This window comes from Homo sapiens, chromosome 1, assembly GCF_000001405.40.
Source record: "Homo sapiens chromosome 1, GRCh38.p14 Primary Assembly".
NCBI classification, from domain to species: Eukaryota; Metazoa; Chordata; class Mammalia; order Primates; family Hominidae; genus Homo; species Homo sapiens.
In genome coordinates, this window is record NC_000001.11 from 234,345,278 (window position 1) to 234,371,901 (window position 26,624).

At 39.0% G+C, this 26,624-nt stretch overlaps 1 pseudogene, besides 4 other annotated features; it reads right to left on the reverse strand.

Moving 5' to 3' along the window:
- On the reverse strand, nt 11,395-11,893 carry RPS15P2 (ribosomal protein S15 pseudogene 2; annotated as a pseudogene).
- Nucleotides 11,420-11,539: an enhancer, noted in NCBI's record as "active region_2747". NCBI's record gives its function as "activates an Ori minimal core promoter by ATAC-STARR-seq in GM12878 lymphoblastoid cells {active_cell/tissue: GM12878}" and the evidence as "EXISTENCE:reporter gene assay evidence [ECO:0000049][PMID:35858748]".
- Nucleotides 11,580-11,679: an enhancer, noted in NCBI's record as "active region_2748". NCBI's record gives its function as "activates an Ori minimal core promoter by ATAC-STARR-seq in GM12878 lymphoblastoid cells {active_cell/tissue: GM12878}" and the evidence as "EXISTENCE:reporter gene assay evidence [ECO:0000049][PMID:35858748]".
- Nucleotides 11,730-11,839: an enhancer, noted in NCBI's record as "active region_2749". NCBI's record gives its function as "activates an Ori minimal core promoter by ATAC-STARR-seq in GM12878 lymphoblastoid cells {active_cell/tissue: GM12878}" and the evidence as "EXISTENCE:reporter gene assay evidence [ECO:0000049][PMID:35858748]".
- Nucleotides 11,860-11,909: an enhancer, noted in NCBI's record as "active region_2750". NCBI's record gives its function as "activates an Ori minimal core promoter by ATAC-STARR-seq in GM12878 lymphoblastoid cells {active_cell/tissue: GM12878}" and the evidence as "EXISTENCE:reporter gene assay evidence [ECO:0000049][PMID:35858748]".

Below are 26,624 nucleotides of genomic sequence, written 5' to 3' on the forward strand. Positions count from 1 at the left end.
GCACTCCAGCCTAGGTGATAGAGTGAGAGCCTACCACAAAAAAAACAACAATTACAACCAAACCCACCTCCCATTTGGTGGCTTACAAGAAAAGGCAAATGTTTGCTCATTCTCACCAGTCTGCAGGCAATTGCACTTTGGCTGACTTAGGCTGGGCTCAGCTGAGTGGCTCTGCTGCAGATGAGGATCTGTCTGGGCTTGGCACCAGGCTAAGTGTTGGGCTCAGGTCTGTCCATGTATGTTTGTTCACGCAGCAGCTATAGGGGAACTTTAAACAACAGAGGAGAGAAAGTACCCATGGAGAGGATGCCCAGTGAGGAATGAGTCCTCTCAGGATTCCCCCTACCAGGGCAGCATCAGGCTCCAGAACCTGAGAGCATGTGTGGAGAATATGCCACCCTAAAATATGCTGCTCTGGCATATTGACTATTTTGAGTAAAAGGCACTTGAAACACAGTCGGTACAAAAAATTCACTCTGACCTTCCTTCCCGAACTTGAACTCCCGGCCTTACACAGTCCTCCCGCCTTGACCCCCAAAGTGCTGAGATTACAGGCAGGAGCCACCACTCCTGGCCTGATCTTCCTTCTGTTTCTTAAAAACAAGAGATGAAATTACCATGCACAAGATGCCTTCCCCATAGCAGAAGGAAAATATCATTCTTATCATCAAGGGCACAAAGTCAAGGCCAAGGGAATTCTGTACAGACCTTGTTAAAATAACTGTTAACTTCTTTTAGCCTCCCCACAGAATTTAGTTATTTTTCTACAACTTACTACTCTTTGTCCACCTCAGTATGTAAGTGTTCAACTCTAACCGCATCTTTGGGTCTTCATTTCCTTTTAAAGGCTCCCATGTCATGTAAACTTTGTCTCAAATAAATGTGTCTGCTTTTCTCCTGTTGATCTGTCTTGTCAATTTAAATATAAGGCCCAGCTGAAAAACCCTAAGAGGATAAAGGTATAATTTTGCCTCTCCTAAATGGGTGAGGGTGGTGGAGGCAGAAGCCCAGTGAAGGCTAAAAGAGTGTTTTGTCTTCAGAGTTTTAAACACACATATATATAATAACATACACATATATATACACACACACAATATAGATACACAATAGCTTATATATACATATATATGCTTCAAATCAGCACATTTATTACTTAGTCTTTTTTTTTGAGACAGAGTCTCGCTCTGTTGCCCAGGCTGGAGTGCAATGGCACTATCTGGGCTCACTGCCACCTCCACCTCCCGGATTCAAGCAATTCTCCTGCCTCAGCCTCCTGAGTAGCTGGGATCACAGGAGACCACCACCGTGCCTGGCTAATTTTTTGTATTTTTAGTAGAGACGGGGTTTCACCGTGTTGACCAGCCTGGTCTCGAACTCCTGACCTCAGGTGATCCACCCGCCTCGGCCTCCCAAAGTGCTGGGATTACAGGCAAGAGCCACCGTGCCTGGCCTCCTTAGTCTTTAATAAGCCTTGTATTCTATGCAGAGATGAATGCAGGGAACTCCCAGCTATCAAGCAGTCCCTGGCACACCCAGACACCACTGAGTCTTTTCTTTTTAGGTTGTATCAGAATCATTGCCACTGGCTTTCCACATACTTCCTGTCTTTCCAACACCTGTAGAACTGCATAGTGCTACATTTAAACAATATACTAGAGCTAAACAATGAAAGACAATGATAGCACAATGACAGTAAAGGCAAAGGAACAAAACTTGAGTTACTTCCATTCTTCTTTTGTTCTGTGTGACCAGTGGAGGCCTCTGTGTGTAAAATTAAACAGAGAGAAAACTACATGGTGTAATATTTTTCTTTGGTAAGTACAAACTTTGGTTTACACATGAAATAGTTTACTGATTACTGAATATGTAATAGTAAAATTTATTCTTTTGTTAATTGTCAAAATTAAAGAAGGAATCAAGAAAATAAAACAATATCAGAGATATAATTTATTGGATTTTTGATTTTGGATGTGAATTTTAGGTAGGATTAATTAAACACAAAAATATTTGCAAACAGCTAGATTTCAGGCTTAAACAATTTACAGCAAAACATCAAGCTTTAAAGTTGTACCTTAAAAATCTAGGCAAAAAATTTGTGCAGAAGGTTAGCAACTATGCAACATAAAGTGAGAACATTTACATGTACATGGAAAAAATAATTACATTTCAGAGAAGAGTGCGAAGAGAAGTTACGAAAGCAGCCACATTGCCAGAAAAAATCACAAGGGCAATGTCTCAAAACCTTGAGTATTTTCACCAAGAACTGAATATCCATTGTAACGCAATAAATTAAATAATGGTAATGTTCACTATGATTCAGTGATGTTTTCTGATTTTTTTTTTTTTATTGAGATGGAGTCTCACTGTGTAGCCCAGGCTGGAGTGCAATGGCGCAATCTCAGCTCACTGCAACCTCTGCCTCCTGGGTTCAAGTGATTATCCTGCCTCAGCCTCCCGAGTAGCTGGGACTACAGGCGCCCGCCACCACGCCCAGCTAATTTTTTGTATTTTTGGTAGAGATGGGGTTTCACTGTGTTAGCCAGGATGGTCTCAATCTCCTGACGTCGTGACCTGCCCGCCTTGGCCACCCAAAGTGCTGGGATTACAGGTGTGAGCCCCTGGGCCCGGCCCTTCTGATTTTTACAAAAGAAAACCTGTAGAAGTTTTTACAAATATAAGAAATTTATGATGAATTTTCAGATAGAAATAATTTAGTGAAATGATTTTTTGACTATAGAGATGTTTGAAAGTTGCTAGAATTGAGCCAAAAAGAAATGTGGACCATATTGCAGTTTCTGGAATTCATTGTGAAATGGGATTTTTGTGAATATCTGCCAAACTTATACTTACTGAAGTCAAATAAAATAGAGATGAATCTCTAAATTTAAAACATTTTATGTAGGAAGCAATAATTGCAATTTGGGGCAGATAGACCAGGTGGCCTTCAGTATATCTGAAGAACAAAGAGAAGGTTGTACGTTTTATAAAAAGGGGAAATGTTACTTATTGTTTTTCCAGAAAGTTCACTGGTACCAGTAAAGTGTTGGGGAGCTGGCAAGCTCTGATTGGTGAGTGATGGTTGTGGAGAAAACGTGTCTAAGGGTCTTAGCAAGTTATTTCAGCAGCTATTAGATAAAGCCAGTTTCAGGGTACAGCAGGCAGTTTCAGCAGCCAGACTTGCAGAGAATTACATTCTTGGATCAATTTCATGTGCCCTGAGTGCTTTTTCCCTTTAGCCTCGAGACTCTGATTTAGTTGGGTATGACAAGAATGACCCAATTTGTATGATCAACTTTCACATCCTTAAGCCTTCTTCTAAAGATTCATATATCTTTTCTTTTTAAAAGAATTTTTTTAAGTTTATACTAATAAGAAGTATTTTTATTAACTATGATTGAAGATAAAAGGATATATCTAGCTATAATATCTATAGATCATAAATATATATAGAAGAAAAATTTTTATAAGGTCACTGAAGAATTTGCAGAAGTTAAGGCTTGAGAACATAAACATAATTGTTAATTCATTATTTTGATAGCTCAATATGTAGGAATACATTTGTTTGTTTTAAAAAATATATCTACATAATTAAAAGTGCTATCCATTGAGGTTTTTCCCTTTTGTGTATTGTAATTATTTTACTTTCATTTTCTTGATTATATATACAAAATTCAATAAAGAAAATATTCACTGTGTTTTTCTCATCATTATCATTTATCTCTATTATTATTACTGCAAATAATTTTATTATACAGAGGAGGAGGGTTTTAAAAATGATCAACTCTGAGTGTCAAATATGTTAGGTACAGAATGAGGTGAGGCTGAGGGCTTGCAATGCAGCCAGGGAGAGTGGTGAAATTCTGTAAACAGAGTAACTGGAGGCCCCACTCCCCTCGTCAGTACACACAGTGCTGCCCTTGCACAGGCAGACGTTCTCACCTTCGGGTCTTGCATTTGTGTTTCCTGCATCTGGAACACACTTCCACTAAACACTTCCATGACTTGTTCCCTTACTTCCTTTAGGTCTCCCATCAGAGAGATTTCCTACGCCTACAAAAAGACCACCCCCTGTCACTCTCTATCCCTTGACCCTACTTTATTCCTCTTTAATTAGTTCCATGTGATACAGTATACATTAATTTGTTGATTTTGTTTTTGTTTGTCTCTCTCAAATGGAATCCAAGCCCATGAGATCAAAGATGTTGTTTTGCTCACTGCTCTATACCCAGCACCTTGGACATCACCGGACATATAGTAGTCAACTATTTTGGAGTGCATTAATGAATTCACTGGAGAAACAGAACCTGAGAAACTATATACTTGGGGGTATGCTGAAAGACCAGAACAAGGCATGAGTTTACACACGAGGAAATTCAATGAAATTCTCTCTGCTCAATTGTGTTACCTTCTGCGTCATTCTCCAGCCCTGACTCCATAAAGTCAGTGTCAGCCACCTATTCCCTCCTCTCTATTATACCCCGGGCAAGATGTTGAGAGATTCCATTTCAAAGAAACTGAGGGGCTAGGGAAGAGAAGTTTAGGTAGTGATATGTGAGGTCCCCAAAAAAAGCTAGTTTGCTTCTTGATCACTTTGTAATGAAGCCTACCAATGCACTGGCTCCGCTTAAACATCTGCAGAACTAGAAACCAACCACCCAGCACCAGACTCTTCGCAGCCAGCCAAGAATCACCCGATGTTTGAGTAAGACTGCTAGAAGAAAACAGAGATAAGAGTAAACAAACTAAAAATGGAAATAGACAACAGAAAGCAAAAGATAATGACAACAACAAAAACACACAATAATCAGTGTTCCCAGAGGGATAAGAGAAACTACATCCAAAAAAGCAAGATGAGATGTTATATTTAACAAGAAACAATCAGGGAATAAGAGCTTTCAGAGCAGAATAAATACATATCTTTTTAAAAATCAAAGAAGAAAGAAGAAAGAAGGCCGGGTGTGGTGTCTCACACATGTAATCCCAGCACTTTAGGAAGGAAAGGCGGGTGGATTGCTTGAGCTCAGGAGTTTGAGACCAGCCTGGGCAACATAGTGAAAAATATATTATATTATATTTGTGAATATCTGATACTATATTTGTGAATATATGCAAACTTATACTTACTGAAGTCAAATAAAATATAGAGATGAATCTCTAAATTTAAAACATTTTATTTGGGACGGAATAATTGCAATTTGGGGCACATAGACCGGGTGGCCTTAGTATGTCTGAAGAACAAAGAGAAGGTTGTACATTTTATAAAAAGGGAGCTTACCATCATTAGTCACCAGGAAAACATAAAAATTAAAACCATGGTAATATACTATTATCCTCCCAGAATGGCTGAATTAAAAAATACTGAGAATACCAAGTTTTGATAAGGATGTGAACTCTCCAATATCCACAGTATAAAATGATAAAACCATCTCATAAAACTGTTTGGCAGTTTCTAATAAAGTTAGATACACACTTATTTATGACCTGGAAATTCTACTCCTAGGTATATATCTAGAAGAAAATGAATGCATATGTCTACAAAAAGGCCTATAGAAAAATGTTCATAGTAGCTTATTTACAAATGCTAAAGACGGAAAACAGCCCACATATTCATTATCGATAAACAGATACACATACTAAGGTGGATTCATACAATGGGATATTACCAAACAATACAAAAGAATAAACTACTGATACATTTAACAACATAGATGACTTTCATAAGAATCATTATGAGCAAAAGAAGTCAGACGTAAAATAGCACATACTGTATAATTCCATTTACATGACCACTGATCAGGTCAAAGTAAGGTTGTAAGGTTCTTATACTATACATGAATTGATGTAGGATTAATTAAAGATAGAATGTGGTAAATTAAAAAGGTATGCTATAATTTCTAAAGCAACCACTGAAATGAAAAAAAACAAAGAGCCAGTAAATGAGCAATAAATTATAAAAATATTCAATAATCCAAAATAAGGCAAAAAGAGGTAAAAAAGAACAAATGAGACAAACAAAAACCAAATTTTAAGATCATAGATTTAAACCTAACCATACAGATAATCAACATAAAGTATAAGTAGTCAAAGTAAAAGAGGTTTACCTCAAGTAAAAGAGGTTTTCAAATTGGATTAAAGATAAGCCCAACTATACTTATCCTACAAGAAATGCATTTTAAATATAAACACATAAGTCAGTTAAAATAAAACAATATACTATGGTAATATTAATCAAAAGAAAGCTAGAGTGAGCCTTATTAATATCAAAAAAGTTGATTTCGAAGCAAAGAATATTATCACAGATAAAGAAGGTAATTTCATAATTATAAAGTTGTTAATTAATCAAAAGAATGTAACAATCCTAAACACGCTCCTAATGACAGTTTAAAAATACATGACGTAAAAAATAACAGACCTACAAATAAAAATAGACCAATACACAATTATAGTCAGAGATTTCAATACTACTCCATCAATAATTTAGAATAGAAAATCAACAAGGATATAGAAAATTTGGCAACACTATCAGCCAACTTGAATTGCTTGATATTTATAGAACACTTGACCCAACAACAGAAGAATAAACATTGCTTTTGAGTATACATTAAACATTTACCAGACCATATTCTGAGCTATAAAACAGAATGTAAGCATTCTACAATTGAATTTAATTAGAAATCAATAACATAATGATCTCTGGAAAATCCGCAAATATTTGGAACCTAAACAACACACTTTCAAGCAACCCATAAATCAAAGAAGAAATCAAAACAGAAATTAAAAAGCATTTTAACTGAATGAAAATAAAATACAGTATATCAAAATTTGAGAAATACAACCGAAACGTTACTTAGAAAATGTTGGCACTAAAGTACTAGATTAGAAAAAGAAGATAGATCATTGACCACAGCCTCAATTTTTTAAAAACTGGGAAACAAAAAATTAAACCCAAAGTAAGCAGAATAGGGAAATAATAAAGATCAAAGTGGAAATAAATAAAATAGAAAATCAGCTAAACCAAAAACTGGTCAGTGAGCAGGTCAATAAAATTGATAAACCTCTAGCCAGACTAACAAAAAAAAAGAGAGAAATTACAAGTTGCCAATATCAGAAATGAGAGATGTGATATCACTATAGATTCCACAGATATTAAAATGGTGATAAGGGAGTATTATGAACAAATTTATGTCAATAAATTTGACAAGTTAGATGAAATAGACAAATTCCTTGAAAGACACAAACTGCAAAGCTCACCTAGGAGGGAATACATAACCTGAATAGCACTATATCTATTAAAGAAATTAAATTTGTAATTAAAAGATTTCCCACAAAGAAAATTTCAGATTCAGAAGGCTTCACTGATAAATTCTACCAAATATTTAAGAAAGAAATAATACCAACTATACATAAACTGTTTCAGAAAACTGAAAAGGTGGAATAATTCTCAATTCATAAAGAGTCCAGCATTATCCTGATACCACACTAGGCAAAGATATCGCAAGAAAAGAAACTACGAAACAATGTATCTCATGAAAGTGAATGCAAACATACTAAATAATTGTTTAGCAAACTGAATTCAAGAATATCATCTAAAATGGATAATATACCCTGACCAAATGGGGTTTATCTCAGGAATGCAAGGCTGGTGTAACATTTAAAAATCAACCAGGCCAGGCGCGGTGGCTCACTCCTGTGATCCCAGCACTTTGGGAGGCCAAGGTGGGCAGATCACTTGAGGTCAAGAGTTCGAGACCAGCCTAGCCAACATAGTCAAAGACTGTCCCTACCAAAAATTAGCTAGGCAGGGTGGCACACACCTGTAGTCCCAGCTATTCGGGAGGCTGATGCAGGAGAATCACTTGAACCCAGAAGGCAGAGGTTGCAGTGAGCCAAGGTCGCACCACTGCACTTTAGCCTGAGTGACAGAGCAAGACTCTGTCTCAAAAAATAAAAAATAATAAAATAAATCAATGTAACTCACTATATTACCAAACTAAAAAGAAAACCATATGATCAATAGACACACACACAAAATCTTTTGACAAAAGCCCATATCCATGTATGAAATCTCTCAGAAAAGTAGGAATAAAAGGATCAACCTAATAAATGGCATCTACAAAAAGCCTATAATTAATATTACTTAATGGTGAAAGATTGAATGCTTTCCACCAACAATCAGAAACAAGAAAAGGATGACACTCAACACTCCTGTTAGACATTGTACTAGAGGTTTTAGCTGTTGCAATAAGCTAGGAAAAAGAAATAAAAAGTATCCACATTGAAAGGAAAAAGTAAACCTGTCTATATTCTCGGATAACATGATCATCACTGTAGAAAATATGACAGAATCAATGAGAAATGGCAGGTCTGAGATATGCTCTTACCTTTTTCCAAGTAATCCTCCTTGAACTTTTTGCTAACCTCCTAGCCACCCAAAATAAAGGCTACATTTTCCACTCTCCTTGCAGCAAGTTGTGGCTTTGTGACTACTTGTTGAAATGTGAGTAAAAGTACTTTGTGGCAACTTGTAGAGACTTTCTTAAAAAGATAACTGGTATACACCATGAGGTAAACTTGGGGATAAAAGGAGCCTGACTGAATCCCTTCATGGAGTAGAGTTGGCATAGCAACAATGGACAACCTACCTCTGAACTTTTACATAAGGGAGAGATACAAACTTCTATCTTGCTTAACGCATGACGTTCAGTCTTTGTTACTTGCAGCTGAAGAAATTTTAAAAATTTGTTTAAATCTCCTTGAAGACAAAATTAGAAGAGATGGAATACAAGAAAAAAATAGTGGATCAATCCAATAAATCCAACATCCTACTAATAGTTCAAGAAATACAGAACAGAGAAAAGAGAGAGGAAGAAATTTCTCAGAACCAAATGACATGAGACTCTAGATTAAAAATACTCACCAATACTCACACTAGCTAAAGATATGGAAGAGACTCATATTAGGGGATGTCACTGTGAAGTTTCAGAATACCAAAGAAGATCCTGAAAACTTCCAGAAAGATAAGTAGAGAATACTTACAAATTATTAGTCAGAATGGCTTCATATTTCTCAATAGCAGCATCAGAAGCCAGAGGACAAATAATCAAATGCCTTCAAAATTCTGGGGGAAAATTATTTTCAGCTTAGAATTCTAGAGCCAGCTAAACTCTCAATCAAGCACAAGGACAGGATAAAGATGTTTTCAGATATTCAAGGGCTCAAATACCCGCTATGTACCCTTCCAAAAGAAGACTGGAAAATATGTTCTACCAAAACAATGAATTAAAACAAGAAAGAAGATGACATGGGATCCAGGAAAGAGGATATCTGACACAAAGGGAAGTCTCCCAATGAAATTTTTACAAAGAGCAAGCATTACATACTGAAGCAGAAGGAAGAAGTTTCCAGGAAATAAAGACATACAATTGATATTTGACTGAATAGAAACATATTGTTAATATACACATGGGAGAAACAGTGAAATAATTGAAAAGCATTAACAATAGGTAGATAAAAATTCAGGCCCTCAAAAAGGCTAGTATCAATCACAGGAAAAAGGAAGGAGAAAAAAGAAAGAAAACATACAAGTAGTACATTACATGGCTCGGCAGTGCACTGCATTGGTATAACCATAATAATGTAAAGAATAACAATTAATTTAACCAAAAATCATACCAAAATTAAATTAGAGGAATGTAGGAAATGTAGTTAGGAAGAGAATGTAAACCGGAATGGAGGGCAGGTGCACAGAAAAATGGCTTAAAATTTGGACTTCCTAGCCAAATTGCCTTTTTTCACATCCCAGGACACCTACTAGCTGTATGATCTTAGGTAAGTTACTCAACTTCTTTGTACTTCAGTTTCTGCATCTGGAAAATGAAGATGATACTACTTACTTCAAAGAGTTATCATAAAGATAAAATGAGTTTATATCTATATATAATGTACTGATAAAAATACTTGGTATAAAGTAAATAATAAATGTGTATTTATCATATCATTAACATGGTAGGAAGTCAATATATGTTCTCTAAACTTGAAAAGTTAAGAAATATTCTATATAGAAATGTGGAGGTAAGGAAAATGGAAGAGTTGAAAATTGGGTGAAATAGGGGATAGACTATTGGCTTTCATAAAATCCTCGTAGACCTCTTCGATTTAAAATAAACTTTGTGGCCAGGCGTGGTGGCTCATGCCTGTAATCCCGACATTAGGGAGGCTGAGGCAGGCAGATCACTTGAGTCCAGGAGTTCGAGACCAGCCTGGCCAACATGGCAAAACCCCATCTCTATTAAAAATACAAACATTAGCTAGGCGTGGTGGTGCATGCCCATAGTCCCAGCTACTCAGGAGGCTGAGGCATGAGAATTGCTTGAACCCCAGATATGGAGGTTGCAGTGAGCCAAAATTGCACCACTGCACTCTAGCATGGGAGACAGAGCGAGACTCTGTCTCAAAAAATAAATAAAAATAAAATAATAAAGAAATAAAAAATGAAATAAACTTTATACATAGACTACTATGATAAAAATAAAACTTAATTCCAAACAAGGTGGCCTTCTTTCCAAAAGCCCTCTGCCTATTGAAAGATAGCTGAGTGAGACTTAATGAGCTCTTCCTTCATATAATGACATTTGCTATATTTGGCCAACTTTCTGCTCCACCATTAAGCCCGATTATCTTTGCTGACACTTAGAGCACATTTACTTTAGATAGGAAATCGAAGGCCAAACAGAAGAGACAAAGTCCCTACCAAGTAAACATGGCCTCTCCCCAGAGTACCACACAAGATAATATATCACATTTTCTATAATAGACCTTAGGGGTTCAAATCCTGGATCTGCCATTTAGTAGCAATGTAATTTTTGACAAGTAATTCACCTCTCTATGTTTATTTCCTGTGAATTGTACCAAGTCTGCGAGGAAATCTATAGGTCATGCCCTACCTTCTTAAGAATCAGCTCTTAAGGAACAGTCATTAGTGTAATGTTAGGCAACAATTTTAGTGAACAGAAATCCCCAGAGCAACCAGAGAAAGCAGAGCACACTCTGTTCTGAGAACTCTTCAGTAAAATAGAAAGCATGTCCTGAACCAGACCCCAGGCCCTTCATTACACTACCCATCTCTGGTACTTGGAAGATCATGAGATAATAGCCTAGGGGCTATAATAGCCCCTAGCCAGAGGCCCATTTACTAACCCCACTGGTATAAATGGAAAAAGTTTTATAATTTAACTCATTAAACTTAATGCAAAAGTATAACATAATTAGGAAACACACCTTTGATTTCTCTAAAGATGAAAATACATCTGGGGATTGAAAATCTATGAGGTGTGAAGGAAAGGAGACAGAATATTAGCTACCACACTTATTTGCATATCTTTTTTTTTTTTTTTTTGGAACCATGTGCGCCTTTATTAGCTGAGCCACTACTTGAGAGGGATGAAGCAGAAGGAGTGGGTGGCGCCGATGCCGGACCGGCATTGCTTTACGGGCTTGTAGGTGATGGAGAACTCGCCCAGGTAGTGGCCAATCATCTCGGGCTTGACCTCCACCTGGTTGAAGGTCTTGCCGTTGTGGACGCCCACCATGCTGCCCACCACCTCGGGCAGGATGATCACGTCCCTCAGGTGCGTCTTCACCACTTCCGGCTTCTCCATGGGCGGCGCCTCCTTCTTGGCCTTGCGCAGGCGCTTCAGCAGGTAGTGCCGCTTCCGCCGCAGGCCCCGGTTCAGCCGCCGCCGCTGGCGCGCACTGTACAGCTGCATCAGCTGTTCGTAGGACATGTCCAGCAGCTGGTCCAGGTCCACGCCGCGGTAGGTGAACTTGCGGAAGGTCCGCTTCTTCTTCTGCTCTACTTCTGCCATCTTGCCGGATCCTCAGAAAGAGCTATTTGCATATCTAAAGGTTGTTTTCCTGATGAAAGCAATCACCATTGTTAACAGATGTGAGCGTAAATGGCTAACCATCATGATCAAGAAAGTTTCAGCTGATAATAAGCTTCAGTATTACTTAGATAATGCTCTTTTATACTATTAATATTCAAGGTATTTATTTAAAACAGACCAATGGATTTCCATGAAAACCTTCTCTATTGCCTAAGTGACTAAGGTTCATGCTGGCACTACTAGATTATTTTAAAATTTTCAGGAAATTCAGGCCTACTTCGATTTTTAAAATCATGCATCCTGGTTAAGTTAAAACTCTATTTCACTCTTCTCCCAGGTCACATTTAAAACGTTTCATATAACCTCAAAAAACACAAGCAAAAAATGAAGTCTCTAATTGAGCTTGTGAATTCTACAACTCTTCCTACTAACCAAGTGGATATTAAAGGGGGTACAAATACCTGAAGGTTTTATGAAGGATTTATTTGATAAAATTCATAATGTATTTAGTTTTCAATCAAGCTTCAAAACATAGAATGATGATTCAAATGTCTGGGACAGGAAAGTCACTGCAATTTCAAGGAACTCACAGTAAGTGTCAAGAGCCTCATCCCTGAGGCTTGGTGAAAGGTTTAAATAAGATAATGAATGTAAATCATGTGTACTGACTACATAGTAAGTAATCAATAATATCTGCTACTATCATTGAAAACTATGGACTGGATGCCATTATACATGGGAGTTCTGTGGTTAGATAAGCATAGCCCAAAGATTCTTAATAATCACCAACCTGGAGGGAAGTCACTGTTAGGGATATGATGAGGGCTATGAATTTTGTATGCTTTGATAGTCTAGTTAGAAAAGCATAATTGAAGATGTCTATCAAACCTGCAGGGGGTGGCAGTGCTAGAAGAGATAATTCCATAGTTTGAATGACAGACTCAAGATCAAAAGGAGCTCAGACTGAGATGATGGGCTATAATAAACAAGATATTTAAGCATGTTATTCTCCTGCTTAATTACTTTCAGTGGCTTTCTGTTGCTGACCACTGAATGCCCTCATGTCTCAGCATGGCATTGAGTACCCTCTACATTAGAACCTTGTCTGGATTTTTTTGGTATCTCCCACCACTACCCTACAGATGCCCATCTCTTTATCTGAGCTTCTTCTTGTTCCCAGATCTTGCCCCTACCGTACTACCTGTTTCTTCTTGCTATAGACTGAATGTTTGTGTTCCCCAACCCCAAATTCATATGCCCAATGTAATCCCCAATGTGAGGGCATTTGGATTGGAGGTAAAGCCTTTGGGAGATAATTAGTTCATGAGGGTGGAGTCCTCATGTATGGAATTCGTGCCCTTATACAGGAGACCCCAGAGAGCTCCCTTGCCTCTTCCACCTTCTGAGGACACAGGAACCAGGAAGCAGGCTCTCAACAGACACCAAATCTGCCAGCTCCTTGACCTTGGACTTACCAGCCTCCAGAACTCTGAGAAATAATTTTTGATTTTTTATAAGCCACCCAGTTTGTATTAGTCTTTCCTACACTGCTATTAAGAACTACCTAAGACTGGGTAATTTATAAAGAAAGAAAGGTTTAATTGACTCACAGTTCCACAGGCTGTACAGGAGGCATGACTAGGGAGGCCTCAGGAAACTTACAGTCGTGGCAGAAGGCAAAAGGGAAGCAAGCGTGTTTTCAGGTGGTGGCAGGAGAGAGAGAAAGAGTAAAGGGGGAAGTGCTGCACACTTTTAAATAACCAGATCTTGTGAGAACTCTGCCACAAGATAGCACTAGGGAGATGGTGCTAAATCATAAGAAACCATCGATCCAATCATCTCCCACCAGGCCCCACCTCCAACGTTCAGATCACAATTCAACAGGAGATTTGGGTGGAGACACAGAGCCAAATCATATCACAGTTTATGGTATTGTTACTGCAGCCTGAACAGGCTAAGATGGTGCCGGCCTGTCTCCCACCTGTTTCTGAACATCCTATTCATCCTGTTTGGCTCAACTCAAAAGTTACTTCCTTCATGAAGAAGTTCCCAGTCCCCCAAAATCAAATAAGCACCAAGTCTGCCCTCGAGTGCCACCTATCTCACACCACTGCCTCATATTGGATGTCTTGGTGACCTTGGTCAGTCCTCTTATTAACTTCCAAGTCTCTTAAAGGCAGGAACTGTTTCCATTATGCAGACTGCATTCTTAAAAGTATTCATGAAACAAATAAATAAATGATATATGTGAAGTCCTCTGTTCGTGGCCAAACCAAAATCATTTCAGGGGAACAGGATGAATGAAAAATCACATCTTAGGGTTGTAGCTGCTGTAAGTAGAATAAGTGCAAATATCGTGGGCACTAAAAGCTAATAAAAACATAGGGTACACTATCCAGAGGACAGAATAACTCTCTGGTTACCAGATGTGAGGCAATTAACATTCTATGTGGGTTCTGATTATTGAATGCTTAAAGAATTGCTCTAGTGTGGGCTAATGGTGGGAAGGGGCTTCACCTGTAGTGTGTTGAAGTCTCATTTACTATGCCAATAACAGCACATTCCTCACCCTGGAACCTGAGTAATCTCTATACATCCTCAGGCCTAAAGAGACAAAAAAGCTCAAATCTTAGGTCTCTCATGGCTGGAAAGGGGACAAACTGGTCGAAAGTATGGCTTCATCTTATGTTATGGTGGGAAATAATAGAATATTGGCTGCTATGAGGGATAGGCTGGGAGTCAGGTGGGAGGTGAACATTAAGAAGGAGAGGGACTGACCTGAAGCCTACGGAGTGTTGCTATCACTCATCACAGGGTTAATTTTGAGAGGCATCTATGTTTGTGCAGTTGCGTTTTCTGTAAACATTATTGTTTTGCTCCACTATGGTATTTCTTAAAGTGTTTTGGAAAAGTAAGGAAAGAGGCCGGGCACAATGGCTCACGCCTATAATCCCAGCACTTTGGGAGGCTGAGGCAGGTGGATCACTTGAGGTCAGGAGTTCGAGACCACCTGGCCAACATAGTAAAACCTCATCTCTACTAAACATACTAAAATTAGCCAGGTGTGGTGGCACACGCCTGTAGTCCCAGCTACTCAGGAGGCTGAGGCAGGAGAATCCTTTGAACCCGGTGGGTGGAGGTTGCAGTGAGCCGAGATAGCACCATTGCACTCCAGCATGGGTGACAGAGTGAGACTCTATCTCAAAAAAAAAGAAAAGAAAAGGAAAGAGATTAGATTAAGATTAAGTACCTACTTCCTCTCCCACTTCAAGTCCTGGAAATAGAGGATCAGAAATGTTGAGGAATTCTTTAGGATAGAAAGGAGATGGGATTTTACTTATGGGAAGACAGCAAATAAAGACTGCAACTTAACACATACACAGGTGAAAGTGTTAGCAAGAGTAGGAACCATTTGCTCTACATAACTCCAGAAAAAACTCATACTAAAATGAAAACATAAAGCAGGCAGTTCTGAGCAATTCCCATCCTTTCTCTACAAAAAGAGAGACGGTACTAAATAAAACATAATTTAGCAATCACAAGCATGAACAGATAGACCACAAAATTTACCGAGCATTTAAGCAAGATCAACACTATGAATGAAGACATTAAACCAAAAAGTCAGAGGCACTACCATCTAAGGAAAAGGAATAAATTATAAATTAAAAGAACATAAGAGAACTAAAATAAGGTGTAATTAATGTTTTCAAAAGATAGCATAAAACAAGAGCAAGAACAAATTGCTTTATCATATGGGATCTAGCCTTCAGCTCTGAATGGGAGATCCTATTACTGACAAAGTCTGTCTTTCCAAAATGGGGTCTTTCTCTGTTCAGTTCAGAAGCCAATACACAAAAACAAAAGTGAGCATCAAGCAGTTCAGGTTTCGTTCGATGGCCATAGAATTGAGAAGTGGGAGCTTGGCTCACAAATCAATTTCATAGCTCTTGCAAGTGAGTATATCACAAATATAGGGCATCTTTAATGAAGGGGTTAAGCATTAAGAGCAAGAGGAGGAATATTCATGTCTTTTCTGGGAATGGGCAGAGAACCGCTCAAAACCAGAGTGCGCTTTCCTTTTTGTCCTTTCATGGTTTCCTCTGGCTGTTGTCAGGGTGATTGTCAACTGTCATGGCACTGGTGGGAGAGTCGTTTAGCATGGACATTAGACTATAATGAAGTTAGAGGTTCTTCAGAGGTCAAGTGAGCTGCCATCTTGGATCCAGTCTTAGTAAGTTAGATCACAAGGGGGAAATTCAGACCTCAGGCATCCTGTTTCCTAAAGATAAGCAGGGTTAAGACAGGATAGAAATTCACCTAGGTCATGTAGGCATTACAATGTGTAACAATCCTAAATATCAACTCTCATGACTGGCCTAGGACCTTGAAACAACAGGAACTATGTCCAAATACCATGAAACTTTCATGTAGTATCAGTGTTAATGTCAGTATGTAGATTCTTTGGCTTGCAGGGAGGACTTGCGTGGCAGAAGTGCTTTGGTAACAGAAAAGAAAATTTAACTTGTGAGCTCTTTCTTCTCAGGTAGCACGAATGTAACAGACTCCTGTATGACAAAATATATTTTCCCAGGAATGGCAAGCACCCATTTTTGTCCAATTCATGGTTCTGGAGGTACTTACAAATTAGTGTGATGTTCATAATAGTTGCTCTCAGAAATTGCAGAACAGTTTGCAATTTTTTTTTTTTAAAAGGGGTCTCGCTCTCTTGCCCAGGGTGGAGTGCAGTGGCGTGATCTCGGCTCACTGCAACCTCCGCCTCCCAGGTTCAAGAGATTCTCCCACTTCAGCCTCCTGATTTGCTGGGACAACAGACATGCACGACCATGCCCAGCTAATTTTTGTATTCTTTTGGTAGAGACAGGGCTTCACCATGTTGGTCAGGCTGGTCTCGAACTCCTGACCTCAAGTGACCTGCCCGCCTTGACCTCCCAAAGCACTGGGATTAGAGGCATGAGCCACAGTGCCCAACCACATTTTTATTATTAAACAATTCATAATACTCTTAAAGATGTATGCTTAAAGGTCTAGAGTGAGACATGATACCAATTTGTTATACTGACAGCCAAACTTTGTACACTAAACTTGTAAATATTTTTTACAAACACATTTAGTAAGTATGTAATTAAATGTTTAGAAAATTAAATAAAAACTCAACTCATTATAATAATAATGATTTATTGTTTCATAGACCTTGATTATCACTGGTTTTGCCTTATAGATTTTAATAGATAAGTTTGAATACTTGAGCATAACCACATCATGAAAATATGTAAAAATAACTTTTTAAAAATTCTTTACATTTACTTTAATTTACATTTTTTATAAATATATATTTGGTGTAATTTGAACACAATTATATTTACTTCTTAATTCTTTTAGATCTGTATACAAATTATGTGAAACTCCTTCTGTTTTTTATATTTTATTTTTTGCCTAAGTTCTACCTCAGGATCTAGAAACTCTTTCTTTTAACAACGTAGTTAACAATTTTGCTGAAACAAAGGCAAGAAAGATACATTTTACAGAATACATACTTTTGAATAGATTATTTTGTTGCTGAATCAAATATTGCTGATTCATCAACAGGACTGTAATAATAATTAAATTCAGCCATCTTTGACATTTTGGCAACTTTATAAAAACCATACCTTTATACATCTTTTTAAATGTTGCTGTTATGAAGGTACACTTGTCAAGGTACAGGAAAAATCATTTTATTTTCAGCTTGATTCATAACTTTTAAGTACCAAGCATACGAGGCATGGGTTCTCATTTATACTCTTTTCCCACCTACCAGAAACAGGCCTGGTCAGACTGGAATAATTTCGGATGCAACTGTAATCCTTGTAAATGAAAATAGGTTACAATCATCCATTAAGAACAGAGATTCTCAGCTGGGCGAGGTGGCTCACGCCTGTAATCTCAGCACTTTGGGAGGCCAAGGTGGGCGGATCACGAGGTCAGGAGATCGAGACCATTTTGGCCAACATGTTGAAACTCCGTGTCTACTAAAATACAAAATAAAAATTAGCCGGGCATGGTGGCGTGTGCCTGTAGGCCTAGCTACTTGGGAGACTGAGGCTGGGGAATCACCTGAACTCCGGAGGTGGAGGTTGCAGTGAGCCAAGATTGTGCCACTGCACTCCAGCCCGGCAAGAGAGTAAGACTCTGTCTCAAAAAAAAAAACAGAGATTCTCACCGAAGAATTTTCAGTGTCACCGTATGCTCTGTACAAGAGGTGAAACTAAAACTAAAACAAAATGACCCAAAAAAGGATGCAAATACATGATTTTTAAAAGATACGCTAAGGAAATGCTACAAAAATGAAAGGAAATGAGGTAATATTAATATCAGTTAATAAAATTCAAGGCCAGAAATGTTAAATGAGTAAATAAGAAATGTATGTTGATGGTATATGTAATCATATATACCTAACAAGATAGCTGTAAGCTATAACTGTTAGAAATATAAACAGAGACAAATATATAATAATTGTGACATATTTTAATATACTTCTTTCAGTGATTAAGAAAGCATTTAATAACAGCAACAGCAATAAAAATGTGTGGGTTTTGAGTGAATAGCACAATGCAAGCTTAGCTGTATAGATGGATGATGGATGGATGGGTGGATGAATACATACATACGGCTGGGCGCAGTGGCTCACGTCTGCAATCCTAGCACTTTGGGAGGCCGAGGCGGGTGGATCATCTGAAGTCGGGAGTTCGAGACCAGCCTGGCCAATATGGTGAAACCCCATCTCTACTGAAAATACAAAAAATTAGCCGGGTGTAGTGGCGCATGTCTGTAATCCCAGCTACTCGGGAGGCTGAGGCATGAGAATCGCTTGAACCCAGGAGGCAGAGATTGTGGTGAGCCGAGATCGCGCCACTGCACTCCAGCCTAGGCGACAGAGGAAGACTCCGTCTCAAAAAAAAAAAAAGAATATATACATACATACATATAGGTTGATAGCTAACTAGGTAGATATATAGATATACAGATACATATACAGTTGATAAATAGATTTGCTCAGCTATAATATTATAAACTATAAATATTACAAGCTCTCATGGATGAAATTGATATCTTAAATCAACGGGGAAAGAATGGAATATTCAAAACTGGTGTTGGCATATTGGACAATGGACGTGCGAGCAGGTTTTAATTTAAATAGGGAGAATTGCTTAGGACTTGATGAGCCAAGACTTGGAGGCGAAGAAGTGGTTGGAGAAACCACCCCAGGCAGAGGAACCCCAGGGGTCAGCCAATGCAAGGCTCTAAATTAGGAAGTACTCAGTGAGGCTGAGAACAATAAGGCACTAAGTTCTTTTAGGTTCTCAGGCCTTTGCACTTATCTCTGCTTCAAATGCCTCCTTTTCCCTTCCTATCTGGGAAACATTCACTCTTTCTTCAGTGTAGCCTCCAAGTTCACTTGCTCAGTGAAGGCCCCTCTGATTCTCCCAGAAAGGATGTGCTACCCCATCCTCCGTGCTCACAAGCCTCGGCCCACAGCTCAGGATTAGTTTTTATTACAGTGTGGCTTTAGGTTTTCATATCTGACTTCCCCACCAGACTATGAACAAATCAAAGGCAAAGATTGCGTTTCATTGAGCTGTGCTTCCCCGAACATCAGGCATAGTGCATAAGACACACTCACTCCATAAACCTTTGTATGTCAAATGAGAGATATTATGTATTAAGCAGTCCAATTCCTCTTTTCACTGTGCATTCTTCATGCAAATGGCAGCTGTGTCTTAGGTGTTTCCCATATGTAGCGACAAGGTATTATGTACTATAAGGAATAAATGGGAAATTACCAAACCCCTTCTCTAAGCAGAACTGAGGGCAGGGATTTCACATCAAACAGACCATGAAATAAATGGAGAGGGCTAATTTGTATTTATTTATGTATTTATTTATTTTTATTTATTTATTTATTGAGAGAAAGTCTCGCTCTGTCGCCCAGGCTGGAGTGCAGCGGTGCGATCTCAGCTCACTGCAACCTCCGCCTCCCGGGTTCAAACGATTCTCATGCCTCAGCCTCCCAAGTAGCTGAGATTACAGGTGTGCGCCACCACACCCAGTTAATTTTTTGTATTTTTTAGTAGAGACAGGGTTTCACCATGTTGGCCAGGCTTGTCTCGAACTCCTGACCTCAAATGATCTGCCTGCCTCAGCCTCCCAAATTGCTGGGATTACAGGCATGAGCCACCGTGCCTGGCTGCGGAGTGGGCTAATTACAGAACATGTTGTACTGGCTAGGAATACAAAAGCCATCAGGAAAAGGCCAAATGAGTGTGCTCTCCTGTCACTGAAGGCTTCTGAAAGGATATGGGCCAGTGCATCAGATTTTGTTGCTGAGCAGGTTGGAGAAGAGCATCAAAGGTGAGAGCAAAGGTAAGAACCAGCATAGATGTGGGAATGAGTGGGTGGGTGCACCGGCCAAGAAGGGGCCTGACTGAAGGACCAGGGAACAACCAATAGGTTATGGAAGGCTGGAGTCAGATTGCAGAGACTAGAGACTCCTAATATCAGGCTGAGAAATCAAATAGCTGTTCATCATTTGTGCCTGAGGATGGATCAGAGCAACGTGATGAAAGTGGCACTTGTGTAAGACTTGCCCAGCAAAGTAGGGCAAGGATGGATGCAAGGGAAAGAATCTGGAGCCTCAGGCCAAGAAGAATCAGGATCTGTTATACAAGGACCCAGGTATGGGGGCTTGAAAGCAACTTGGGGGCTAGGACTGTGTCTGGACCACCATGTGGCCCCATATTGGTGGTAGGGACTGAGTGTTGAATACGTGAATGTTGTGAATTAATTAAGAAGAAAAGAGTTGAGAGTTGTTTTTAATCAAGGAACAGTAGGCTCTAATGATAGAGAGACCTCCTCACCTCTTTCCCACAAACCCCCATCCTGCACCCTATGTTCCAGGGATAGTAAGCTGTTCACTGTTGTCAAGAGACTGGTTCTGCCCTATCTCTGGACATTCGTATTACTGCTTGCTTTGCCTGGAAGGGAAGGGAAGACATTTCTGACTGAATCAAAAAGTGATTTAGAGGAGTAAATATAAAGAAGTTTTAGGAATACCTTAATCAATTTCTGCTTTTATTTTCATTTTAATGTATTTAAAAGTATAATACAATGAAAATAATCCATGCCTAAATATGTCTAAATAGGTTTTAATGTTTAAGATAAAAATCTTAGGTAGGGCTGGGCTCACATCTGTAATCCCAGCATTTCGGGAAGCTGAGGCAGGTGGATCACTCGAGGTCAGGAATTCGAGACCAGTCTGGCCAACATGGAGAAACCCCACCTCTACTAAAAATACAAAAATTAGCTGGGTGTGGTAGTGGGCACCTGTAATCCCAGCTACCTGGGAGGCTGAGGCATGAGAATAGCTTGAATCCGGGAGGCGGAGGTTGCAGTGAGCTGAGATCATGCCACTGCACTCCAGCCTGGGCAACAAAGCAAGACTCTGTCTCAAAAACAAAAAGAAAAATCCTCGGTAATAAAAAGCATTGTGTTATACTCAATTTGGCAATGTTTTTTCTTTTCTTAGTCGTATATAAAATAATGGTGCAGGCCGGGTGCGGTGGCTCACGCCTGTAATCCCAGCACTTTGGGAGGCCGAGGCGGGCGAATCACAAGGTCAGGAGATCAAGACCATCCTGGCTAACACGGTGAAACCCCGTCTCTACTAAAAATTCAAAAAATTAGCCCGGCGTGGTGATACGCGCCTGTAGTCCCAGCTACTCGGGAGGCTGGGCAGGAGAATGACTTGAACCCGGGAGGAAGAGGTTGCAGTGAGCTGAGATCGGGCCACTGCACTCCAGCCTGGGGGACAGAGTGACACTCTGTCTCAAAAAGAAGAAGAAGGAGAAGGAGAAGGAGAAGAGTGCAACTTATGATGAATGCATCTTAGATGAGATGAAACATTTTTCTGTTTATAAGACTTCTCTTCCTTTAAGTCTAAGATAAAGTGACTTCTATAATACAGTAATATTAATAATTAACATTTTCTTTTTTCTTTTTCCTATAACACTTACCTAACATACTACATATACTTTATTTGTTATGTCTATTGCTTATTGTCTCCCTGCTAAAATGCACATTCCATGAGGGTAGGAATTTTTATCTATATGTTCTCTGATGTCTCCTAAGCCCCTAAAACAGCACATAGTAAGTGCTCTCTCTCTCTCTGTCTCTCTCTCTCTCTCTCTCTATATATATATATGTGTGTATGTTGAATGAATGAAATTTTTTAATGTGCTAGACACTCTTCTAAGTGCTTTGCATGGCTTGTTTCATTTAACTTTCACAAGAAACCTAAGGTCTATATTACCACCCACATTTTCAGTCGAGGGAACCAATGTATACAAAGATTCAGTAACCTGACCAAGGTTGCACAGCTTGACACTGGAGGAAATAGAATTCAAGTGTAGTCTGCCTCTGAACACAATACTCTTCTCCATTCCACTGTGCTGTTTCTAATACCACCTGTGTTCCCCTTTTTGAGGTCTCTTGGCAAACTCCTGTTCTGGACACCCATTGCATTGGATGCCTGCCTCTATCATAGCTCTTATTGCCCTTTATTAGAGGATAATATGGTCCATGTCCTCCACTAGACTGAGCTTCTCAAAGGCTGAGACCTACCTTATTTGTCTTTTTTGAGACGGAGTCTCGCTCTGTTGCCCAGGCTGGACTGCAGTGGCACGATCTCAGCTCACTGCAACCTCCGCCTCCCGGGTTCATGCCATTCTCCTGCCTTAACCTCCTGAGTAGCTGGGACTACAGGCACCCGCCACCACGCCTGGCTAATTTTTTGTATTTTTAGTAGAGACGGGGTTTCACCCTGTTAACCAGGATGGTCTCAATCTCCTGACCTCATGATCCACCCGCCTCGGCCTCCCAAAGTACTGGGATTACAGGCATGGGCCACTGGCCTCTTATTTGTCTTTATCCCCAAGGCCAACCATGGAGGCTGGCACTGCACAGATGCATAATGTCTGTGAAATGGATTGGCTATGTAAATACAGAGCAGGGAGCATAAAAGAGAACTGGAAGGCTTCTAACGGGAAGACAAAGGACTTGTGGAACTGATGAAAAAGAACAGCTTAAGAAGAGCAGCGCTTCTAGAGAGAAAATATCGAGTCCAGTTCTGAACGTCTTGGAATGATGGAAAGATAAACAAGTGAAGATATCCAATAGGGATGTGGAACAAGAAAACTGTCACAAAGGTTCTTTTAAGGACCAAAACATAGTCTTGCAAGTCTTTGTGACAGAAGTGCTAACTGAAACTATCAGAGTGAATTGACTCACCAACTAAAACAATGCAGAGAGAGAGAGAGGAGAGCAAGAGAGAGAGAGAAATGAAGGGACAGCATCTTGGCGTATACCTATAGTTAAGGGGGTTGAGGAAGGCAAGGAGACAGCACAGAGATCTAGAAGAAATTCAGAAGATCGCTGTAGCAACACTGAAGTCAAGGGAATCGTTCTCCGGTCTGTGCCCGTGAGTAGGTGTCTGTGATAACTGCTTTGTAACAGTACAGATTATAAATAAAAGTCTGTGGGCAGCAACAGAAAAACAACACATACATTTTCAGTGCGACTGGGTCTGTCTGGCCCTGCCCACCAGTGGTTTGGGGATCTACTTCGTTCCGACTAGAGAGCACCCACTCAAAATTTCCTCTGGATGGCAACCCAGCACAACACGTCTTCCACCTCTTCACACTGACTCCTCCTCGCCTCCTCTCTCCTCCAAACATAGGCTGGGTGATTACACCCTCTTTGTGTCAAAACAGCACACTTGAAATCATTTTATGGCACCCACATTGTTCCATTTTAATCTTTAAGATTTTGTAAGGTGAAATGGTCTTTGCAATTGTTATCCTGTGTTAATTTTCTTTTTCTTATTGACACCACAAAATTCCTCTCTTCTAGTTTGTTTTTGCTCTGTTAGTAAAACCAGCATTTCCCAACTGGCGAACTAGACTTCTTCAGGGGTAAGGTGGGGAATGTTATTGCAACTCACTACATCTCTCTGGTAATATCTTCCTTGTCTATCCCTTAAGCTTACCACAGACCACTAGGAATTGCTTAGGTGCACGGTGGCATTTAGCACTAGAGACCACTAACTTTTGACCTCGAAGAGCACTTAAGATACTAAATTCATTAAAAATTTAGTAATAACACTACAAATATTCTGTGTGACCACTATTTTTACCTTTCTGTAAATCAAATTTATTAAAGATGACCTTCCTCAGGTCAATTACTCATTTTATTTGTTTAGAAATTGTGAGATATACATTCCTATGGAAAAGTGAATAAAACATATATGTACAGTTTATTTAAAGAATAATTATAAAGCGAACACTCAGGTCCATAAATAAAACATTCTCCGCATCCCAGGAGCCCCACCATGTGCCCCTCCCTGATCATATCTCCTTTCTTACCCTAGAGAGGAACATTTGTGATAATCATTTCTTAGCTTTTCTGTATAGTTTTACTACTTATGACTGTTATTTTAAACAATATAGTAGAGTTCTGCCCGTTTTTGAACTTTATGTAAGTGGAAATATTCTGTATTCATTGGTTGTCTCAGTATGGCAATTCACCATGTTATTGTAAATAATCGTTTGTTTCTCTTTGTTGCTGTATTATATTTCACAGTATGACTATACCATAATTTATCCATTCTATTGTTGATACAAGTTTGAGTTGCATAATGGTTTCAGCTATTAAAAAAATGCATATGTACAGGAAATTCTGTAGAGTTGCTGAGTCACAGTGAATGTGTATCTTCAATCTTACTAGATAATTCAATCTTACTAGATAATGCCACACTGTTTTCCCTGATTGTATCAACTTATGCTACCACAGTGTATGAGGATATTCCTTGCTTCTTCCTTAAAACTTGTTTCTGTCAGACTTTTAAATTATTTTTTGATCTGCTGGGTGTCTAATAGTACTGCATTGTTATTTTCATGTTCCTTTCTATAGTTACTAATGGGAATGTTGGTCCTTTCATGTATTAGTCATTTGCATTTGGTGCTGTGCCTATTTAAGCTTTTTGCCCATTTTCAAAATGGGCAAGTCTATTTCTTATTGATTTGTGTTATTTGTATATTCTGGATACTAATCCTTTTTCACTTGCTTCATGGTATTGTTTGGTAAACAAAAGTCCATTACTTTTATGTAGCCCAATATTTTTATGTATGTAACACATCTTTTTTTTTTTTTTTTTTTTTTTTTTTTTGACGAAGTCTCTCCCTGTTACCCAGGCTGGAGTGCAATGGCATGATCTCAGCTCACTGCAACCTCCGCCTCCTGAGTTCAAGCAATTCTCCTGCATCAGCCTCCTGAGTAGCTGGGATTACAGGCACACACCACCATATCCGGCTAATTTTTTGTATCTTTATTAGAGACGGGGTTTCACCATGTTGGCCAGGCTGGTCTCGAACTCCTTACCTCATGATCCGTCTGCCTCAGCCTCCCAAAGTGCTGGGACTACAGGCGTGAGCCACCGCACCCGGCCACATCATTTGATAATTACTGAGACTTTCCTTTATGGCTAAAAATTCCTCTTAACCTAAGTCATAAAGATTTTTTCTTATATAGGTCCACATAACTCACCTGAAATCCCTGGAGCCAGATGTTTGAAATATAGACTATTTTAAATATTAGAAGGGTAGTATGAAACATACAACATATATTGTATAATATTCTCAACAAGAACTGGGACAGTACCCATAATGAAATACATTAATATTTCTACCGAAAAGCATATGCAGTCACCTAAGTGATAATAACAACTATAAAGAGCCTCATGTTACTTTAAGTCGTATTTTTCACCAAATGAGTTCCAAAGTGTGTGGTGTTTCAGAGGTTTGGGGATTTTATAATTAGTACAAAAGTTATGGTAGCCTTATTCAGTAAGAATGGAATGATTTCAAAGTTTGTAGGAACTTACTGGTGGAGCCACGTACCTGGGATTTGTGTGTATGAAGATTCTTCACTACTCATTCAAATTATGTAATAGTTTCTCTACTTTTGAGTTGTTTTTCTTGAAGTTTGTACAGTCATCTAAATCTTATTTGCACTAAATTGTTTACAAGATTATCTAACTTTTTTGATGTCTATAGTATTTCTAGTTTCCATTCTTGATAAAGATTGTTGACATCCCTCCTTTTATAGCTATTAGATGTTTGCCAATTTTAATTTTTCTTTTCCAAAAAAAATCAACTTTTGGCTTCTTTCAACCTATTCTATGCTGTGGTGTGCTAGTGAGTTAGCTCCAAACATAAAATCCTGGCTTGTTGATTTCCATAGTGTAAACAGTCCCATCATGGTTGACTTCAAGCTACTTATTTGAATTGGCTCCAAACATAAAACAAAATCCTGGCTTGTTTGTTGAGTTCCATAGTGTAAACAGTCCCATCGTGGGTGACTTCAAGCTACTTATTTGATGTTATTGATCATGGAGTTGCCAAGAGGTGTGCACAATTGGCTCTCCTATGCCAGTACAGGCTGGCTCTGGTACACCACTGCTTTTATTTTCCATTTCGTTAATTTCTGCTCTTAACATTATTTCTGTCCTTCTATTTTCTGTCTTATTTTGCTGTCCTTTTTCTAACTTCTTGAAAAGGGATTTTCAGCTCAAGACTTTTCAGACTCTTCTAATACACTTACTTATGGCTATAAATGTCCCTGTAAGTG